This window comes from Homo sapiens, chromosome 5 (genome assembly GCF_000001405.40).
Source record: "Homo sapiens chromosome 5, GRCh38.p14 Primary Assembly".
Taxonomy (NCBI): domain Eukaryota; kingdom Metazoa; phylum Chordata; class Mammalia; order Primates; family Hominidae; genus Homo; species Homo sapiens.
In genome coordinates, this window is record NC_000005.10 from 178,382,169 (window position 1) to 178,398,110 (window position 15,942).

Consider the following 15,942-nt stretch of genomic DNA (forward strand, 5'->3'; position numbering starts at 1 on the left):
TCAGAGAGGCTGGGTGTCTGCTGAGGGTCACACAAGAGTGGTGGGGGCACAGAGTCCCAGCTGCAGCTGCTGCGGCTGATCATCACCCACATTGCCTGGAGGGAGTGTCAGGGTGGTAAGGGTGGGTCAACTGGTCAACCTCCAGGGCTTTTGTGTTTGTTTCCGAATCAGGTTCTTTCTGTGGGCACCGGCAGGCCTAGTGTTAATATATATGGACAGAAAGGATGAGAATCATGTTGGAAACGCCCCTTCGCCCTCCTCCTCCTCTGGAGGCTGGGCTAGAAGGTGGGAATCACCTAATGCCAGGCTGGGGCAGGGGACAGGGAGAGACCTGGAGGAGGCGGGACCTGAGGGTAGGCGACGGGGAAGAGTAGGGTGAACCGATACCCCACCATGGCCAGAGTGGGGGGTGAGGAGGGCAGCCCAGCACCAAAGGTGGGTGGAGAAACTGTGTCCCCTCCCGCAAAGTCTCATTATGTTCTTAAGCCCCTCCAGTCCCAGGAGTTGGGAGATGGGGCCTTAGCCCCAGAGGGGTATGACATGGAAAAGAGAGCCCCAGGCCCAGGACTCGGGGGCACTGAAGAGGGAGAAGCACAGCTCAGGGAGACGGTTCAGAAGCGCCCTGGCTCTGGGCCCACACACCCCTCCCCACCGCCTTGGCAGGAGTCAGAAGGCTGAGTGTAAGCCGTGACTCGGGGAGGCCTGGCTCCTCGGCTGGCCTGGAAGTCAAGTGAAACCAGGTGGCAACCAGGGGGTGGGGAGGAGCTGAGGACAGGAGGGAGGGGGGCCCACTCCAGTGCAGACCTGGGGAGGTGAGAGACTCCACCTGTCGGGGCTGGCTGGGCTCCTGAAAAGCTGACAGGAGCCAGGGGGTGTCTGTGATCAGGGCTGGGGGCTGCTGGTGCATGGTTCCCGGACTTGAGATGCATAGGAGCTTGCTGGCAGACTTGTCAGAACCCAGGCTGCTGCCTCCCCCTCCCCCTCCTCCAGCTCTGGGTGCAGCCCAGCCATTTGCATTTCCACTTTCTGGAACTTTCCTAGGTGCTGCGGCTACTGGTCTGGGAACTGCACTTTGAGAACCATGTCCTAGGCCACATGCTCAGCTCCTGTTGGGACCAGCTTCCCGCAGAGATGGCCTGCCTTATCTCTACCCCACCTGATCAGAATTCTACAGACAAGGGCCCAGCCCTGACCCAGTCTGTGGTCAGGAAACCAGGACAAGTCCCCTTAAGGGGTCAAGGGTGGCTCCCTTGGTCCAGCTTGTTCCCCAGTCATGGCCCAGCCGGCCCCTTCCCGGCTCCCAGGGAAGTTAGCTCTAAGGTCTCTGCCACCTGCAGGCCTGGCACCCAATTTGGGATGCTGGTTACCCCATTCTCCAGGGACTCAGCCCCAGAAGACTGTCCCGTTGTTTCTTGGGGAGGTGGGCTTGGGGTTGGAGAAGCCCCCCATCAGCCGTGACTTGTGTCCCAGGACTTTTCGTGGGAACCTGGGCCCTCGGCCTGGAGCTGGAGCATCGTTCTCCAAGTCTGCATGCACAATCACAGTCCTTCAGTGTTAGCCGGGAGCCCCCTGGGGTGAGGTTTTGGGGCATCCTTAAATGGCCTGCAGGGCCTCTGGGAAAACCGTGCATGACTTCAGGCACTCCTTTGTGTGGTCACCTCCCCGTGGCCTCACGCTGGACATGGTAAAAGCAAACCTTACGACAGAAATAGAAAAAAAAAAAAAAGGCAGAGACGAAAAGAATCTCAGAAAAAGATAGACATGAATGGCTAGAGAGTTAAGAGAAGATCAAAATGGAAACCTGTTATCCATCCTGTTAGCAAACGAGGCCACGCTGTGTGACACGGGGGCCCAGGACTCCACCAGGCGGCCTGTGCAAGCCTGGGCTGCATCTCCTGCCACGGCCAGGCAGGTCCCACCTCTCTGCAAAGACCCCTCTTCTCTAGAAAGGGGTGATGGTAAAATAAGGCTGGCCATCGAGAAGACCGAGAGGCAGGGTCAGGGGCGGCACTTTTAAGATAGTGACAACGAGAGCAGCGTGGAGCCAGACGCTGCTGCGAGCTGAGCTGCGATCGCAAATGCACGCAGCTCCCCGCCCAGGGCAGTTCTCAAAACCTGGATCCGGCGACGGAGGCCCGGCCTGGCCACTGCCTGGCGTTTTCTCATAAACCAGCTTTCACGAGGTGTTGGCTGCTCAGTCTTGACATGAGGTGAAGCCTCAGGAAAGCCCGGGGCTGTTCATCCGGGTAGTAAACCAGGCTTCGGCTTTCCAAGCCAGACCTCTCCTCCCTGCCCACCCCTCCCTCGGCTTTTTGGAGGCCACGTGGACGGCGCTGAGTGCATCCCTCTCCAGCGGCCCACCGGGCACTGTGCAGGGGCCGGCGTGCCTTACTTCCCTCCCTGCTCCTGCGCTGATTCTGCTCCTGCCTCAGAGATCACGGTTTGACATGGGAAACCAAGGCTCAGAGGGGGCAGGGCCGGGACTTGGACTCAGATGCGTCCAGTTTCAGAGCCAGAAGCCTCCTGGGGGCCTCACCCACTGAATCAGAGTGCGCGCTCACAGGGTGCACATATAACAGCCACCACGACCCTTGTACCACCCGGGGACGGCCCAGAACAGCCTGGGGCTTGGAGTCCCCCTGAGGGAAATGGCTGTGCCTTTTCCTAAAGCATTAAAAGGTCCGTAACAGAAAAGCGGGAAATAGCCTGCAAGGAGGAAGAGCGCGGTGAGAGGTCAAATGGGTGGCGAGGCTCCCGCTCCTTCCCTGTGCCCAGCCTCCCTGCCTGCCCCATCCAAGCCACCACACTGGGCTGCCCAGCCCACTCCACGCCGGGGGCTCTGTCCCTAGAGCCTGAGCAGGTCCTGACGGGGTAGTCTTCTGTGGCAGCCCCTGGTGGCTGGACTCATGTTGTCACAGCTGGGGAACAAGCATTGGGGTGGGGTTATCACCCACAGCTATAGGAGTGTGGGACTTGCTGTCTCCTGGGCTCTCACTCCTCAGGAACTGGGGCTCAGTCCTTTCTGCTCCTGGAGCCTCTCAGACTCTTCTCCTTACTGGGCCTTCCGCTCTGGCAGGGTGGGTTGCGGGGACCCCTCTGAGCTGCTAATGCTTCCCTCCCCCCAGGTCTCAGTGAGCTGTGGACGCGGGGAATTCACAGAGGGAAACACCCCTGCTCTATCAAACACCACCCCCACAGGCCCACACGTCTTCATGTCAGTAGGCTGGAAGCAAATGGCCAAAAATGGAAATGTTTGTGCTGGTGCCTGACTCAGTTTCTTTGCCCCTTATTTCTCTTAGGACGTGAGTGCAGCCAGGCTCCAGACTGTTGGAGCCCCTGGAGCCTGGCCGGTCTCCTCCAGGAGGGTGCTGGGCACCGAGCCGGGGTGGCCCTGCTCTCCCTGTGACCCTGGCCGTGTGCACGTTAGGAAGTTACTCTCATGCCCTTCCCCCGAAGCTTCCCACAGACTGGTGACTGGCTGTCTGAGGACGTTAAGCGCATCATCTGCCACACGTCGTGGCTTGATGTTGACTCACACCTGGGTTCACAGAGCAAACTGACGTAGGAAACACCCAATCCAAAGAGGATGCTCCACAGAGGCCAGAGCTAAGCTCACCCACCTTCAAAGGCATCTGATAATAAAACCAGGACCTCTGGGATCAGAAAGTTCCCGTGTCGGCTGCCAGGATTTTCAAAAGATGTATTCAACCTGTTTTAGTCTGGGATTTCATACAATATTTCACTGATTTTCCCTACAGTCGTAATACAGCTGACATTTCTCGGGAAATGAAAATCCATGTGTCCTAACCATCTAGTACCAAAGCAGAAGAAGGCAGAGTGCATAGAATTTGCAGATCCACAGCAGCATTAATAGGCAGCTGGAGAAATGAAAGCTTGCATTGCAGGCTATAATACAATGCTTGTATCCAACCCGGGCTTCGTGTATGTGGGTATGTTTTTCCAATATTATTATTAAAAATACAACATAGGCCAGGCGCCGTGGCTCACACCTGTAATCCTAGCATTTTGGGAGGCTAAGGCGGGTGGATTGTCTGAGCTCATGAGTTTGAGACCAGCCTGGGCAACACGGTGAAACCCCGTATCTACTAAAATACAAAAAATTAGCCAGGCATGGAAGCATGCGCCTGTAGTCCCAGCTGCTTGGGAGGCTGAGGCAGGAGAATCGCTTGAACCCAGGAAGCGGAGGTTGCAGTGAGCTGAGATTGCACCGCTGCACTCCAGCTTGGCAGAGAGAGCGAGACTCCGTCTCCAAAAAAAAAAAACGCAATACACTATTTCAGGAAATATTAGGAATAAGACTCACTCACAATCCCACCAACCTAGCACAAATATTTCCATTTTTGGCCATTTGCTTCAGCCTGTTGAGATGAGGATATGAGTCTGTGTGTCACCAGAGGGGGGTCGGGGTGGGTGAGTGTTTGATAAAGTGGGGGTCTGTTTTCCTCCGTGAACTCCCCCGCCCCCACAGCTCACTGAGACCCGGTGGGAGGGAAGCGTTATCAGCGCAGAAGGGTCCCCGCCGCCTACCCCTGCCCCGTCAGGAGTCTGAGCAGACACCATGGGCTCCAGGAGCAGAAAGGACTGAACCTCGGTTCCTGGGGAGCAAGAGCCTGGGAGAGAACAGGACGCACACTCCTATGGCCGTGGGGAGGTGACCTTCTTTTGCCCTGATGCTCACTGGCTCTATGCTGTGCCACTGATCGGATGCCTGGTAACTTCCTCGGCCATTGCCCAGTATCATCAGACATTTGAGTGGCTTCCAATATTGCACTATTAGGATGGGTGCAATAAATACCCACAGGCTGACCTCGGCTTTGCCTCTGGACTTCAGCTCCAGGTTTCGTCTCTCGCTCCAGGCTTCCTGCTGTCCGACTTCCTGGCACTCTGCACCCCCACCTTATTTCTCTCCCACGGCAGCTTCTCATCACCCCGTCTGGAACCAACAACACCCTCTTTTCTCTTTCATTTTACCCATCCTGGTGCTGACAGCTCACAGCAACCCTGCCCGAGTCTTCAATGGCCCCCACACACAGCCTCACCGAGGAAAGCCACGTTCTGTAGCCTGGTGATCACCCCTTATGCCTGGGCCCAGACTCCCCACTTCTCTTCCTCGTCTCCTTCCACATGCCCTTCAAATGTCCAGCCCTGGTCAAACTGACCCGCTCACAAGTCTCTAAGACACTGCTGGGTCAAGCCTCAGTGCGTTTGCCCAGGTGGGTCCCTCCACAGGAGCGCTCCTCCCGAAACCCACCCACCGGACATGTTCCTGCTGCCCTCCTGCAGCTCAGAGCACCCCTGCCCATGAGCTCTCCTGGCAGGGTCGGGAACTGCCTGCTGCATCTGGGTATGCTCTGCACACTGCTCCAAGGGCTGCCCTCACAGCCGACTGTATTTGGGGTTTGCCTGAGCCTCCCCTCCTGGACCAATAACTTCTAGAGGCTCATGACCATTTACCTTTTATCCCCAGTACGAATACAAAGATAAGGTCAAAGAACACACTCAGTAAATACACGCTGAGCTAATGAATGAACGAACGACAATGAGGCAGTGGGTCTGAGTTCTCCCTACAGACAGTGTGGGCCATTTTCCCCCGCGCTGTGCTTGCGGAGTTTCCCACTCCTCTGTCCCCCAGCTTTTATACTCAGGAAGGAAGAGGGCCCAAGGAGAAAATAAGGAGCCAAAAGCAACCTGCCTGCAAGGCCTCCTCCCAAGATGTGGCAGCTGTGGTGGCACTGCAAGAACTGCCAGTGAAGGACAGAAATGGGCAAGTGGGAGGAGATTGATGCAGAAAGCCCCCCGCCACCATGGCCACCGCCCACCGACACTGCTCCTCAGGGCATGTCCACCCAGCGCACGCTCTCCACGGTGTGATTCTTCCAGTAGGCTCACCTGCCAGAGCCCTTCCGTTATTGCTGGATGTAAAGTTCCCAGCCTCAGAGTCTCAGAAGCTCCCTGCCCTGAAATGCCTTTAACAGATAATTTTTCAGAGACTCCTGAAATGTAAGTCTCCCTCCAGCAAGCAGGTCTGTCAGAGATGCAAGACCTGCTTTTAGCGCTAGTCCTGATAATCCCACAGCAGAGCCAGTTCTCCACTCTGCTGAAGAATTTAGGGCTGGGGTGGCATGGGGATGAGTTGGATTTAATCTTACGTTCCCTCTTCTCAAAGGTGAAGAAAGGCCAGATATGCCTGTTGGAAGCAGGTATCCCTGGAACCTGCAGCGGGGCAGCTCAGGAGGTGGCTTACACTTACTTAAGCAAGTGACTTACATTTACTTAAGCAATGCTGGTTCTTCAGCGGCTCCTCCCAAGTCCTGGAAGCAGCCCAGGGGATCCCAGCTGGGAGAGGAAGGAGGCTGTGGGTTGCAGCATCAGTGGCCGTCTCCTTGCTTGTCTCTCCCACTGCCTGTCATCAACTTCCTCCCCTGGTGATTTTGCTGGGCCCTTCCCAGACATCCAGGAGCGGTGGAGATGGGCCTTCTGACTCATCCAGTGACCAGGCCACCGAGTGGCCTCCCTGCCTCCAGCCCAGCCCAGCCATCCTGTCTCCCATCACTGGCATCCGATGCTGTCACTCCCTTGCACTGAAACCTGCAGTGGCTCCCTATTGCCTATTTCCTCAGAACACAAAGCCCTGAGTAACCAGTCAAAAGGGAGTTTACTGCAGGACTTCTCAGGGCCTTTAGTATGCTAACATCCCTTGCAGCTCTCTAAGGTGGAGATTGGAGGGGATTATACGATAAGATTTCCCAAACTTCTGTGACTGTGGAACCCTTTCCGCAGGGACATCTCATGAGTCAGGTGCTCCAGGGACACTGATTTGGGGATCACTAACTAAAGGCTAAAATTTACACTCCTTACCAAGGCAATTGAAGCCTTCATAACCCAGCCTTGACTGGTTCCCCAAACCTGGCTGTCACGCTCCCGTTGCCTCAGTGTGTGGCTTTACATAACCCAGCCTTGACTGACTCCCCAAACCTGGCTGTCACGCTCCCGTTGCCTCAGTGTGTGGCTTTACAAAATTTTTGCTGCCTGGAAGCGGCTTTCCTTTTCCTCCACCCAGCAAAGTCCCAATGCCCCTTTCAACACAGCCTCCTGGCCACCTCCTCCAGGAAGCCCTCTCCCATTCCCTTTCCAAAGGTGGGTTTGGCTACACTCTCCCCTGTGTGACAGTTACACAGAGACTCACAGCACACAGCAACATCTGCATTTAGTCAAAGTGATGCTTCAGTTTGCATTTCACGACTAAGCTGCACAAAAGCTTCAGACCTCACCCAGATGGCGAGACATTCACACAGGGTCTGCAGGAGCTGATGTCCACTGGGGAGCTGCACATTCTCATCCCTCCTCACAGAGGGTGCCCACTGACACTAATTCAATGAGTTATCTCTTGTTTTGCTGGACTTCCCTCCACCCCCAAGTCGTAGAAGTGGACTTGCATTGGTTAAATGTGTATATAATGTGATTCCCATGTGTAGAGTTAAGTGCCTTTCCCTTCTGTCTGTGGCCTCCTCCAGAGGTGTTTTGTTCTTCATTTAGTGACAGCAGAGTGACAAGGAGCTCCATGTCACATGGCTTCTCCCTGTGGCCTTGGTGAGCCCAAGGTGGGTATGAATATACAAAGCTGACTGCTTGCGTGACGGGTGGGCACATGCAGGCAGTGTGTGGAGAAACAGCTACGTCCAGCCCTCCTGAGCCGTTCTGAAGTGGCACCGGCTGCCCCTGCCAAGACACCGGTAAGCTCCCCCTTGCCACTAATCTCACATGCTTACAGGAAAGACGCTCGGCGGCAGGAGCTAGCAGCGGGGTGCTCAGAGACTATGTGTCCTGCCAACAATGTGCTCAGGACGGATCTGTGGGATCCAAGCCACATCTGCTGAGGCTTTGAGAAAGTTCTGTTCTCCCTCTCAAAGCTACCAGAGGCCACGAAGGCTGGCCTTGGATTCAGGGTACTGGTTTGAACCCCATGGACATTCTCACCCCAGTCCTTGCTACAGGACCAGGATGAATATATCATTTACTATCCAAACCAAGATATTTTAAGAGAGGGAGAGACCGGCTAACTTGCAGGAAGAACAGGCATACACTGAGACTGTCTGGATCATGTGGGATGTACGGTCATTGTAGCTACAACTGGCTGGAGGAGGACAGCAGGGAGCAAGGAGGCACATGGCCATGAGGCAGGTCACCTGCTGGTGCACTCCAGGCTCAGTGTGGCAGAAAGGTATGGCCACATAAAGAAGAGCTGACCAAGCCCCTCTAACCAGCTGCTCTCCCGAGGGTCCCCTGGCACAGAACCCCCTCATGTTCTCACCCCAAAGTGCACAGGACAATGAAGGGCAGAGACAGCACAATAGAGACCCCTGCAAGGCCTCCCAGTGCCATCTGTGGGCACCTGAGTTACCAAGCACCTGTCATGGAGGCTGCTGTCCTGCAATCAATAAGGTTTTTAAAACTTGTCTGTTCTAACAAGGGTGCCAAGACCATTCCATGGGGAAAAACAGTCTTTTCAACACATGGTGCTGGCACAGCTAGATATCCACATGCAAAAGAATGAAAGTGGACCCCTGCCTCACACCATATGTAGAAATTAACTCCAGGTGGATCAGACTTACATGTAAGACTTAAAACTATCAAACTCTTAGAAGAAAACATAGGTGTAAATCTTCATGATCTTGGTATTAGGCAGTAGTGTGTTAATATGACACCGAAAGCATAAGCAACCAAAGGAGCAATAGATAAACTGGATTTCAAAACAAATAAACTTTTGTGCCTTAAAACAGGGGCCCCAACCCCTGGGCTGTGGACCAGTTTGTGGCCTGTTAGGAACCGGGCCTCACAGCAGGAGGTGAGTGGCAGGACAGTGAGCATTACCGCCTGAGCTCCACCTTCTGTCAGATCAGCAGCGGCATCAGATTCTCATAGGAGCATGAACCCTATTGTGAACTATGCATGCAAGGCATCCAGGCTGTGCACTCCTTATGAGAATCTAATGCCTCCAAAACCATCATCCTTCCACCCTTGTCTGTGGAAAAATTGTTTTCCACGAAACCAGTCCATGGCACCAAAAAGGTTGGAGACCACTGCTTTAAAAGATACCGTGAAGAAAAGGAAAAAGATAAGCCATGGAATGGCAGAAAATATTTGCAAATCATATATCCGATAAGGGACCTGTAACTATAATACGTAAAGGATTCTTACAAGTCAACAATAAAAAGACAAATAGGCAGAGGATGTCAATGGACCTTTCTCCAAAGAAGATAAACAAATAGTTACTAAGCACATGAAGACATAGGAAACGTCATTAGACAGCAGGGAAATGCAAATTAAAGCCACGATAAAGTACCACTTCACTCCCACTAGGATGGCCAGAATAAAAGAGTCAGACAGTCAAAAATGTTGGTGAGGATGGGGGGAAACTGGAACCCTCATCCATAGCTGGTGGGAATGTAAAAAATGCTGCAGCAGCTTTGGAAGACAGTCTGGCAGGTGCTCAAATGGCTTCACACAGACTGCCATACGATCTAGTAATTCTGCTCCTATTTACCCAAGAGAAATGAAACATCTGTCCATACAAACACTTGTACGCCCATGTTCACAGCAACATTATTAAAAATGGCCCAAAAGTCCAAGTATCCAAATGTCCACCAGCTGATCAATGGATAAATAAAATGTGGTATATTCATACAATGAAACATTATTTGAGACTAAAAGGAATGAAGTACTGACACCGGGATGAACATGCAGGAATCTTGAAAACATTACGCTAAGTGAAAGAAGCCAGACACAGAAAGTCACGTATTATATGATCCTATTTATATGAAATGTCTGGAATAGGGAAATCTGTAGAGACAGAAAGTAGATTAGTGGTTGCTGCGGGCTGGGGGCTTTGAGGGGAAATGATGGGTGGCTAGTAATAGGAGTGTCTGCTATTTTTTTTTTTTTTTTTTGGTTGATGAATTGTTCCAAAATTTATTGTGGTGTTGGTTGCACTACTCTGTGAGTATAATAAAAACCACTGACTTCTGCACTTTACATGGGTAAACTGTATAGTGAGTTATATCCTAAGATTGTTATAAAGCAAAAGCAATCTGAATGGCTGAGCCCGCACGGACGCAGCATCACAATCTGCCCTGGGTGTCCTCGGAGCACACTCACCTTATTTATATCTTTCAAACAATGCACCTACTGCATTCCCATCTTTCTTCTAAAATGTTAAAGAAACTGCATCTACAAGACACATCTTCAAACAGAAACACAAAAACCTTACAACGAAACAGGGCTGCACAGAAGGCCACGCCACCTCCAGAATTGCCCTGGCTAACTGTCAGGACAGCAGCAATGTTTTATCCACACAGAAGCACAAAGGGACAGAAACTGTGTTCTCTGCCTTCTTACTGAGACACGAGGCCACAGGAAGTCCACTCAGGATGGCAGGGTCCAGCGGACAATGGTCCCTGCTGCCACCCTCAGCCTAAATTCGGCTCCCAAATGTATCACGCTACCCCATGGCCGGCTCAGCTTTTCACCACTTGCAAATGTAATAGTGAGACCCCTCCTACCAATAGCCACATTGTTACCTGAAGATTGACAGTTCAACAGAAAATGCCACATTAGAAGAGGAGGCCTCAGGAAGAACAAGACCCAACGTGGCCAAGCAAGAAAAGGAGAAAGGAGACCTAAGAGTGTGCCAGCGCTGAAGAGAAACACCTTGGAGGTGTCTGACAGCAGTACCACTGTTAGTGCAACTCCTCACCAGTACAGAACGCCCTCCCTCACTGGGTGCTCAAAACCACCTGCTCAGCCATCTGCATTTTGCAGAGAGACTCAGGCAGGACAAGAGCCCAAGGACCCACAGCGGGTGCCTGGCAGAAAAGCAGCTCAAGCTCAGGCCTTCGAACTCCCAACCGTGCATTGTTGCCGAAGTAAACGATTTGTTGCATGCATATAAAACATCTGGCTCGAGAGATGGCCCTGGCAGGGAGCATTAGCCTTAAATGGAATAGTTTTCAGCCTTAAAAAGGAAGGAAATTCTGACACATGCGACAGCACGGATGGACCTTGAGGATGTTACGCTAAATGAAAGAAGCCACAAAGAAGAAGTCACGGAAGGACAAATGCTGGATGAGCCAAGCCAGGGTACTCCAAGTCATAAAGATGGGAAGTAAATGGTGGGTGCCAGGGCTGTGGGGAGGAGGAATGGGGAGTTATGGCTTAATGGGTGCAGAGTTTTCGTTCTGCAAGATGTAAACAGTTCTGATGATGGTTGCACAACAACGTGAATATACTTAATGCCACTGAACTGTACACTTAAAAATGGTTAAGATGGTACATTTTATGTTATGTATGTTTTACTACAATAAAAAAATTTCCCTGGCACCATTCAGATCATGTGAGACCAGCTCCCAATGCATGTGGAAGGAAATTGATAAAAATCATCAATCAAGACTCTCTTCCCTCTTTTCCTTTTTTTTTTTTTTCCAGACAGGGTCTTGCTGTGTCACCCAGGCGCAATCTCTGCTCACTGCAACCTCCACCTCCCGGGCTCAAGCGATTTTTCTGCCTCAGCCTCCCAAGTAACTGGGACTACAGGTGTGCACCACCACGCCTGGCTAATTTTTGTACAGATGGGGTTTCACCATGTTGTCCAGGCTGGTTTCAAACTCCTAACCTCAAGTAATCCACCTGCTTTGGCCTCCCAAAGTGCTGGGATTATAGGTGTGAGCTACCAAGCCTGGCTTCTTCCCTCTTTTCAACTGATTTTCCAAGGGTGCCAAGGAGTGGGGAGGACCCACCCCAACCCTGCCCACCAGGTGCCCTGACAGAAGGATGGGACATAACCCCTTGGTCCCAAGGAAGCAGGTGCTCAGTGTGGCCACAGACTATCAAACCTGGAGCGAAAGACCTGGGAGGGCAGGAGGAAGGGAAGCTTCAGGGAGGAAGCAGAGGCAGGACAGGCAAGGAGGAGGCCCAGGGCTCCAGCACAGGCAGAGCATACAGTCACTATCTGCACCTGTCCTGCCCTGCAGGCCTGGAGCCTCCTGAGGGCAGGTCCGGTACAGGTTTAACCCATGCCCTGATGCTCAGTCAGCCCAGAGGCTGGCACAGAACAGTGCCTGCCACACACTGGGTGAGTCAACCCTGAGCCCTCAACTCGGAGCCACTCCCAGCTGGAGAACACCTGCTAGGCTGCATAGGGCCTGCAGCCCCACCCCAGGAATGCAGAGGCAGCCCCACCAGCCCTCTCTCAGCTCACTCCCTGAAGATCTCCAAGGAAGACAACTGTATTGACAGCACGGGGTACTTTTCCTGCTCCAAGAAATTAACTCATTTCAAAAGCCACGATGTTCCGGCCTCAACATGGTGTTCACAGCTAAACTGTGTGGCCTGAAGGTTCACATCTTTGGGTAAACTGAAAATCATCCTTAGCTAGCATTTGGCTGCAAGTTCAGCCTCCTGGTTCCTGAGTCCACCCTGACACGCAGAGGGGACTGCTGATGGTCTGACTCCCATCTGCTACACATGGGGAAACTGAGGCCCAGAGAGATGGTATGCCTCCCCAGGGTCACAAGTGGGACATAGCAGGGCTAGAATTACAAGGCCCTGGGTCTCGGGCAAGGGCTGAGGGGAATTAGTTGAGCTAATTAGTCATGCTAAGCAGCATTCGGCTCTCAGCTCCAAACGTCCAGGCTTGGTTCCGGCCCCGGCTGTCCTCCGAGAGTCTCTCCCCGGCGGGCAGGCGCTCTGGGCATTCGGCTCTCAGCTCCAAACGTCCAGGCTTGGTTCCGGCCCCGGCCGTCCTCCGAGAGTCTCTCCCCGGCGGGCAGGCGCTCTGGGCATTCGGCTCTCAGCTCCAAACGTCCAGGCTTGGTTCCGGCCCCGGCCGTCCTCCGAGAGTCTCTCCCCGGCGGGCAGGCGCTCTGGGCATTCGGCTCTCAGCTCCAAACGTCCAGGCTTGGTTCCGGCCCCGGCCGTCCTCCGAGAGTCTCTCCCCGGCGGGCAGGCGCTCTGGGCATTCGGCTCTCAGCTCCAAACGTCCAGGCTTGGTTCCGGCCCCGGCCGTCCTCCGAGAGTCTCTCCCCGGCGGGCAGGCGCTCTGGGCATTCGGCTCTCAGCTCCAAACGTCCAGGCTTGGTTCCGGCCCCGGCTGTCCTCCGAGAGTCTCTCCCCGGCGGGCAGGCGCTCTGGGCATTCGGCTCTCAGCTCCAAACGTCCAGGCTTGGTTCCGGCCCCGGCTGTCCTCCGAGAGTCTCTCCCCGGCGGGCAGGCGCTCTGGGCATTCGGCTCTCAGCTCCAAACGTCCAGGCTTGGTTCCGGCCCCGGCTGTCCTCCGAGAGTCTCTCCCCGGCGGGCAGGCGCTCTGGGCATTCGGCTCTCAGCTCCAAACGTCCAGGCTTGGTTCCGGCCCCGGCTGTCCTCCGAGAGTCTCTCCCCGGCGGGCAGGCGCTCTGGGCATTCGGCTCTCAGCTCCAAACGTCCAGGCTTGGTTCCGGCCCCGGCTGTCCTCCGAGAGTCTCTCCCCGGCGGGCAGGCGCTCTGGGCATTCGGCTCTCAGCTCCAAACGTCCAGGCTTGGTTCCGGCCCCGGCTGTCCTCCGAGAGTCTCTCCCCGGCGGGCAGGCGCTCTGGGCATTCGGCTCTCAGCTCCAAACGTCCAGGCTTGGTTCCGGCCCCGGCTGTCCTCCGAGAGTCTCTCCCCGGCGGGCAGGCGCTCTGGGCATTCGGCTCTCAGCTCCAAACGTCCAGGCTTGGTTCCGGCCCCGGCTGTCCTCCGAGAGTCTCTCCCTGGCGGGCAGGCGCTCTGGGCATTCGGCTCTCAGCTCCAAACGTCCAGGCTTGGTTCCGGCCCCGGCTGTCCTCCGAGAGTCTCTCCCCGGCGGGCAGGCGCTCTGGGCATTCGGCTCTCAGCTCCAAACGTCCAGGCTTGGTTCCGGCCCCGGCTGTCCTCCGAGAGTCTCTCCCCGGCGGGCAGGCGCTCTGGGCATTCGGCTCTCAGCTCCAAACGTCCAGGCTTGGTTCCGGCCCCGGCTGTCCTCCGAGAGTCTCTCCCCGGCGGGCAGGCGCTCTGGGCATTCGGCTCTCAGCTCCAAACGTCCAGGCTTGGTTCCGGCCCCGGCTGTCCTCCGAGAGTCTCTCCCCGGCGGGCAGGCGCTCTGGGCATTCGGCTCTCAGCTCCAAACGTCCAGGCTTGGTTCCGGCCCCGGCCGTCCTCCGAGAGTCTCTCCCCGGCGGGCAGGCGCTCTGGGCATTCGGCTCTCAGCTCCAAACGTCCAGGCTTGGTTCCGGCCCCGGCCGTCCTCCGAGAGTCTCTCCCCGGCGGGCAGGCGCTCTGGGCATTCGGCTCTCAGCTCCAAACGTCCAGGCTTGGTTCCGGCCCCGGCCGTCCTCCGAGAGTCTCTCCCCGGCGGGCAGGCGCTCTGGGCATTCGGCTCTCAGCTCCAAACGTCCAGGCTTGGTTCCGGCCCCGGCCGTCCTCCGAGAGTCTCTCCCCGGCGGGCAGGCGCTCTGGGCATTCGGCTCTCAGCTCCAAACGTCCAGGCTTGGTTCCGGCCCCGGCTGTCCTCCGAGAGTCTCTCCCCGGCGGGCAGGCGCTCTGGGCATTCGGCTCTCAGCTCCAAACGTCCAGGCTTGGTTCCGGCCCCGGCTGTCCTCCGAGAGTCTCTCCCCGGCGGGCAGGCGCTCTGGGCTCCTGCCCAGGACTGTTTGGCGTGGACTTCAAAGAGCAGAACAGCTGAGCATCTGGGGCTTCCCTGGTGTCCAGTGAACAAACGTCAAAGATCTGGCACTGAGGGGCCACCTGTCCCCATGTGTAGCAGATGGGAGTCAGACCATCAGCAGTCCCCTCTGCGTGTCAGGAAGGACTCGCAGAGGCTTTCTGGGACTCGGCTTGCTCCAAGCCTGGCTGTGCACCCAGCCTCCAGGAAGGGCTGTGCTGGGCCTCAGTGGCAGCATGGCTGGGCTGGCAGGACCTACTCAGTACCACCTTGGAGTCAGGCTGGCCTGGTCATTAATTCACTCCTTCCTGCCGCCACCAACATCCACTCAGCACTTCGGATACACCGGGGGCAGAGCTGAGGGGGAGACAAAGCAAAAGAAAACGGCAGGGATGCTGCGTTAGCAAGACGCAAGGAGGGGGCGCTCCGGCAGGCCTCTCGCAGGAGTGAGGCGGGGCAAGGATTTAAGGACCCACAGCTGCAACGGATCAGACATATGTTTCGGGGGAGAAAACTTAAAAGTACAGCGAGGATTCAGTAACTGAGGCTTAACGAAGAAGCCAAAGTCATCAGGACACAGAACTCACAACTATACTGCCCCTTCTAACATCAGTGCCCCCAGACACACCTGCCTGTTCACGGGCATCCGCCCCCACTCATGCCGCTGTCTTGGTTAGACAGCGCCTGGATAACCGTTACATGCCATAAATGCACCTGCTGTTTGAGGAGGTTATCTGTGCCTGTAATAATGTGATGCGAATCCACTGCAAGTGAAGCCACAGATGTTGTAAAAAGTTGCAGAATTTCGGCTGGGTGCAGTGGCTCATGCCTGTAATCCCAGCACTTTGGGAGGCTGAGGAGAGCAGATCACGAGGTCAAGAGATTGAGACCATCCTGGCCAACATGGTGAAACCCCGTCTCTACTAAAAATACAAAACTTAGCTGGGTGTGGTGACACGTGCCTGTAGTTCCAGCTACTCAGGAGGCTGAGGCAGGAGAACAGCCTGAACCTTGGAGGCAGAGGCTGCAGTGAGCAGAGATCACACCACTGCACTCCAGCCTGGTGACAGAGTGAGACTTCATGTCAAAAAAAAAAAAGTTGCAGAATTTCATGAAGTTGATGTGAGTGATGCTGTAACACTGCCTGGGTCTGATGCCGAGACATCAACAAATGGGGCTGGGTCTTGGCAGAGTGAACCCAGTTAACCAAA

At 55.0% G+C, this 15,942-nt stretch overlaps 1 protein-coding gene across 11 annotated transcripts in view, besides 5 other annotated features; it reads right to left on the reverse strand.

Annotated features, from left to right (window-relative positions):
• The window catches only part of COL23A1 (collagen type XXIII alpha 1 chain), a 352,776-nt gene that overhangs the window by 144,551 nt on the left and 192,283 nt on the right, over positions 1 to 15,942 (reverse strand). The gene's annotated exons all lie outside the window — the stretch shown is intronic.
• Positions 297 to 1,115: an enhancer, noted in NCBI's record as "H3K4me1 hESC enhancer chr5:177809466-177810284 (GRCh37/hg19 assembly coordinates)". NCBI's record gives its function as "activates a minimal SCP1, AML or CMV promoter by ChIP-STARR-seq in naive H9 embryonic stem cells {active_cell/tissue: H9 hESC(naive)}" and the evidence as "EXISTENCE:reporter gene assay evidence [ECO:0000049][PMID:30033119]".
• Positions 1,116 to 1,933: an enhancer, noted in NCBI's record as "H3K4me1 hESC enhancer chr5:177810285-177811102 (GRCh37/hg19 assembly coordinates)". NCBI's record gives its function as "activates a minimal SCP1, AML or CMV promoter by ChIP-STARR-seq in naive H9 embryonic stem cells {active_cell/tissue: H9 hESC(naive)}" and the evidence as "EXISTENCE:reporter gene assay evidence [ECO:0000049][PMID:30033119]".
• Positions 1,934 to 2,751: an enhancer, noted in NCBI's record as "H3K4me1 hESC enhancer chr5:177811103-177811920 (GRCh37/hg19 assembly coordinates)". NCBI's record gives its function as "activates a minimal SCP1, AML or CMV promoter by ChIP-STARR-seq in primed H9 embryonic stem cells {active_cell/tissue: H9 hESC(primed)}" and the evidence as "EXISTENCE:reporter gene assay evidence [ECO:0000049][PMID:30033119]".
• Positions 2,752 to 3,568: an enhancer, noted in NCBI's record as "H3K4me1 hESC enhancer chr5:177811921-177812737 (GRCh37/hg19 assembly coordinates)". NCBI's record gives its function as "activates a minimal SCP1, AML or CMV promoter by ChIP-STARR-seq in primed H9 embryonic stem cells {active_cell/tissue: H9 hESC(primed)}" and the evidence as "EXISTENCE:reporter gene assay evidence [ECO:0000049][PMID:30033119]".
• Positions 4,693 to 5,511: an enhancer, noted in NCBI's record as "H3K4me1 hESC enhancer chr5:177813862-177814680 (GRCh37/hg19 assembly coordinates)". NCBI's record gives its function as "activates a minimal SCP1, AML or CMV promoter by ChIP-STARR-seq in naive H9 embryonic stem cells {active_cell/tissue: H9 hESC(naive)}" and the evidence as "EXISTENCE:reporter gene assay evidence [ECO:0000049][PMID:30033119]".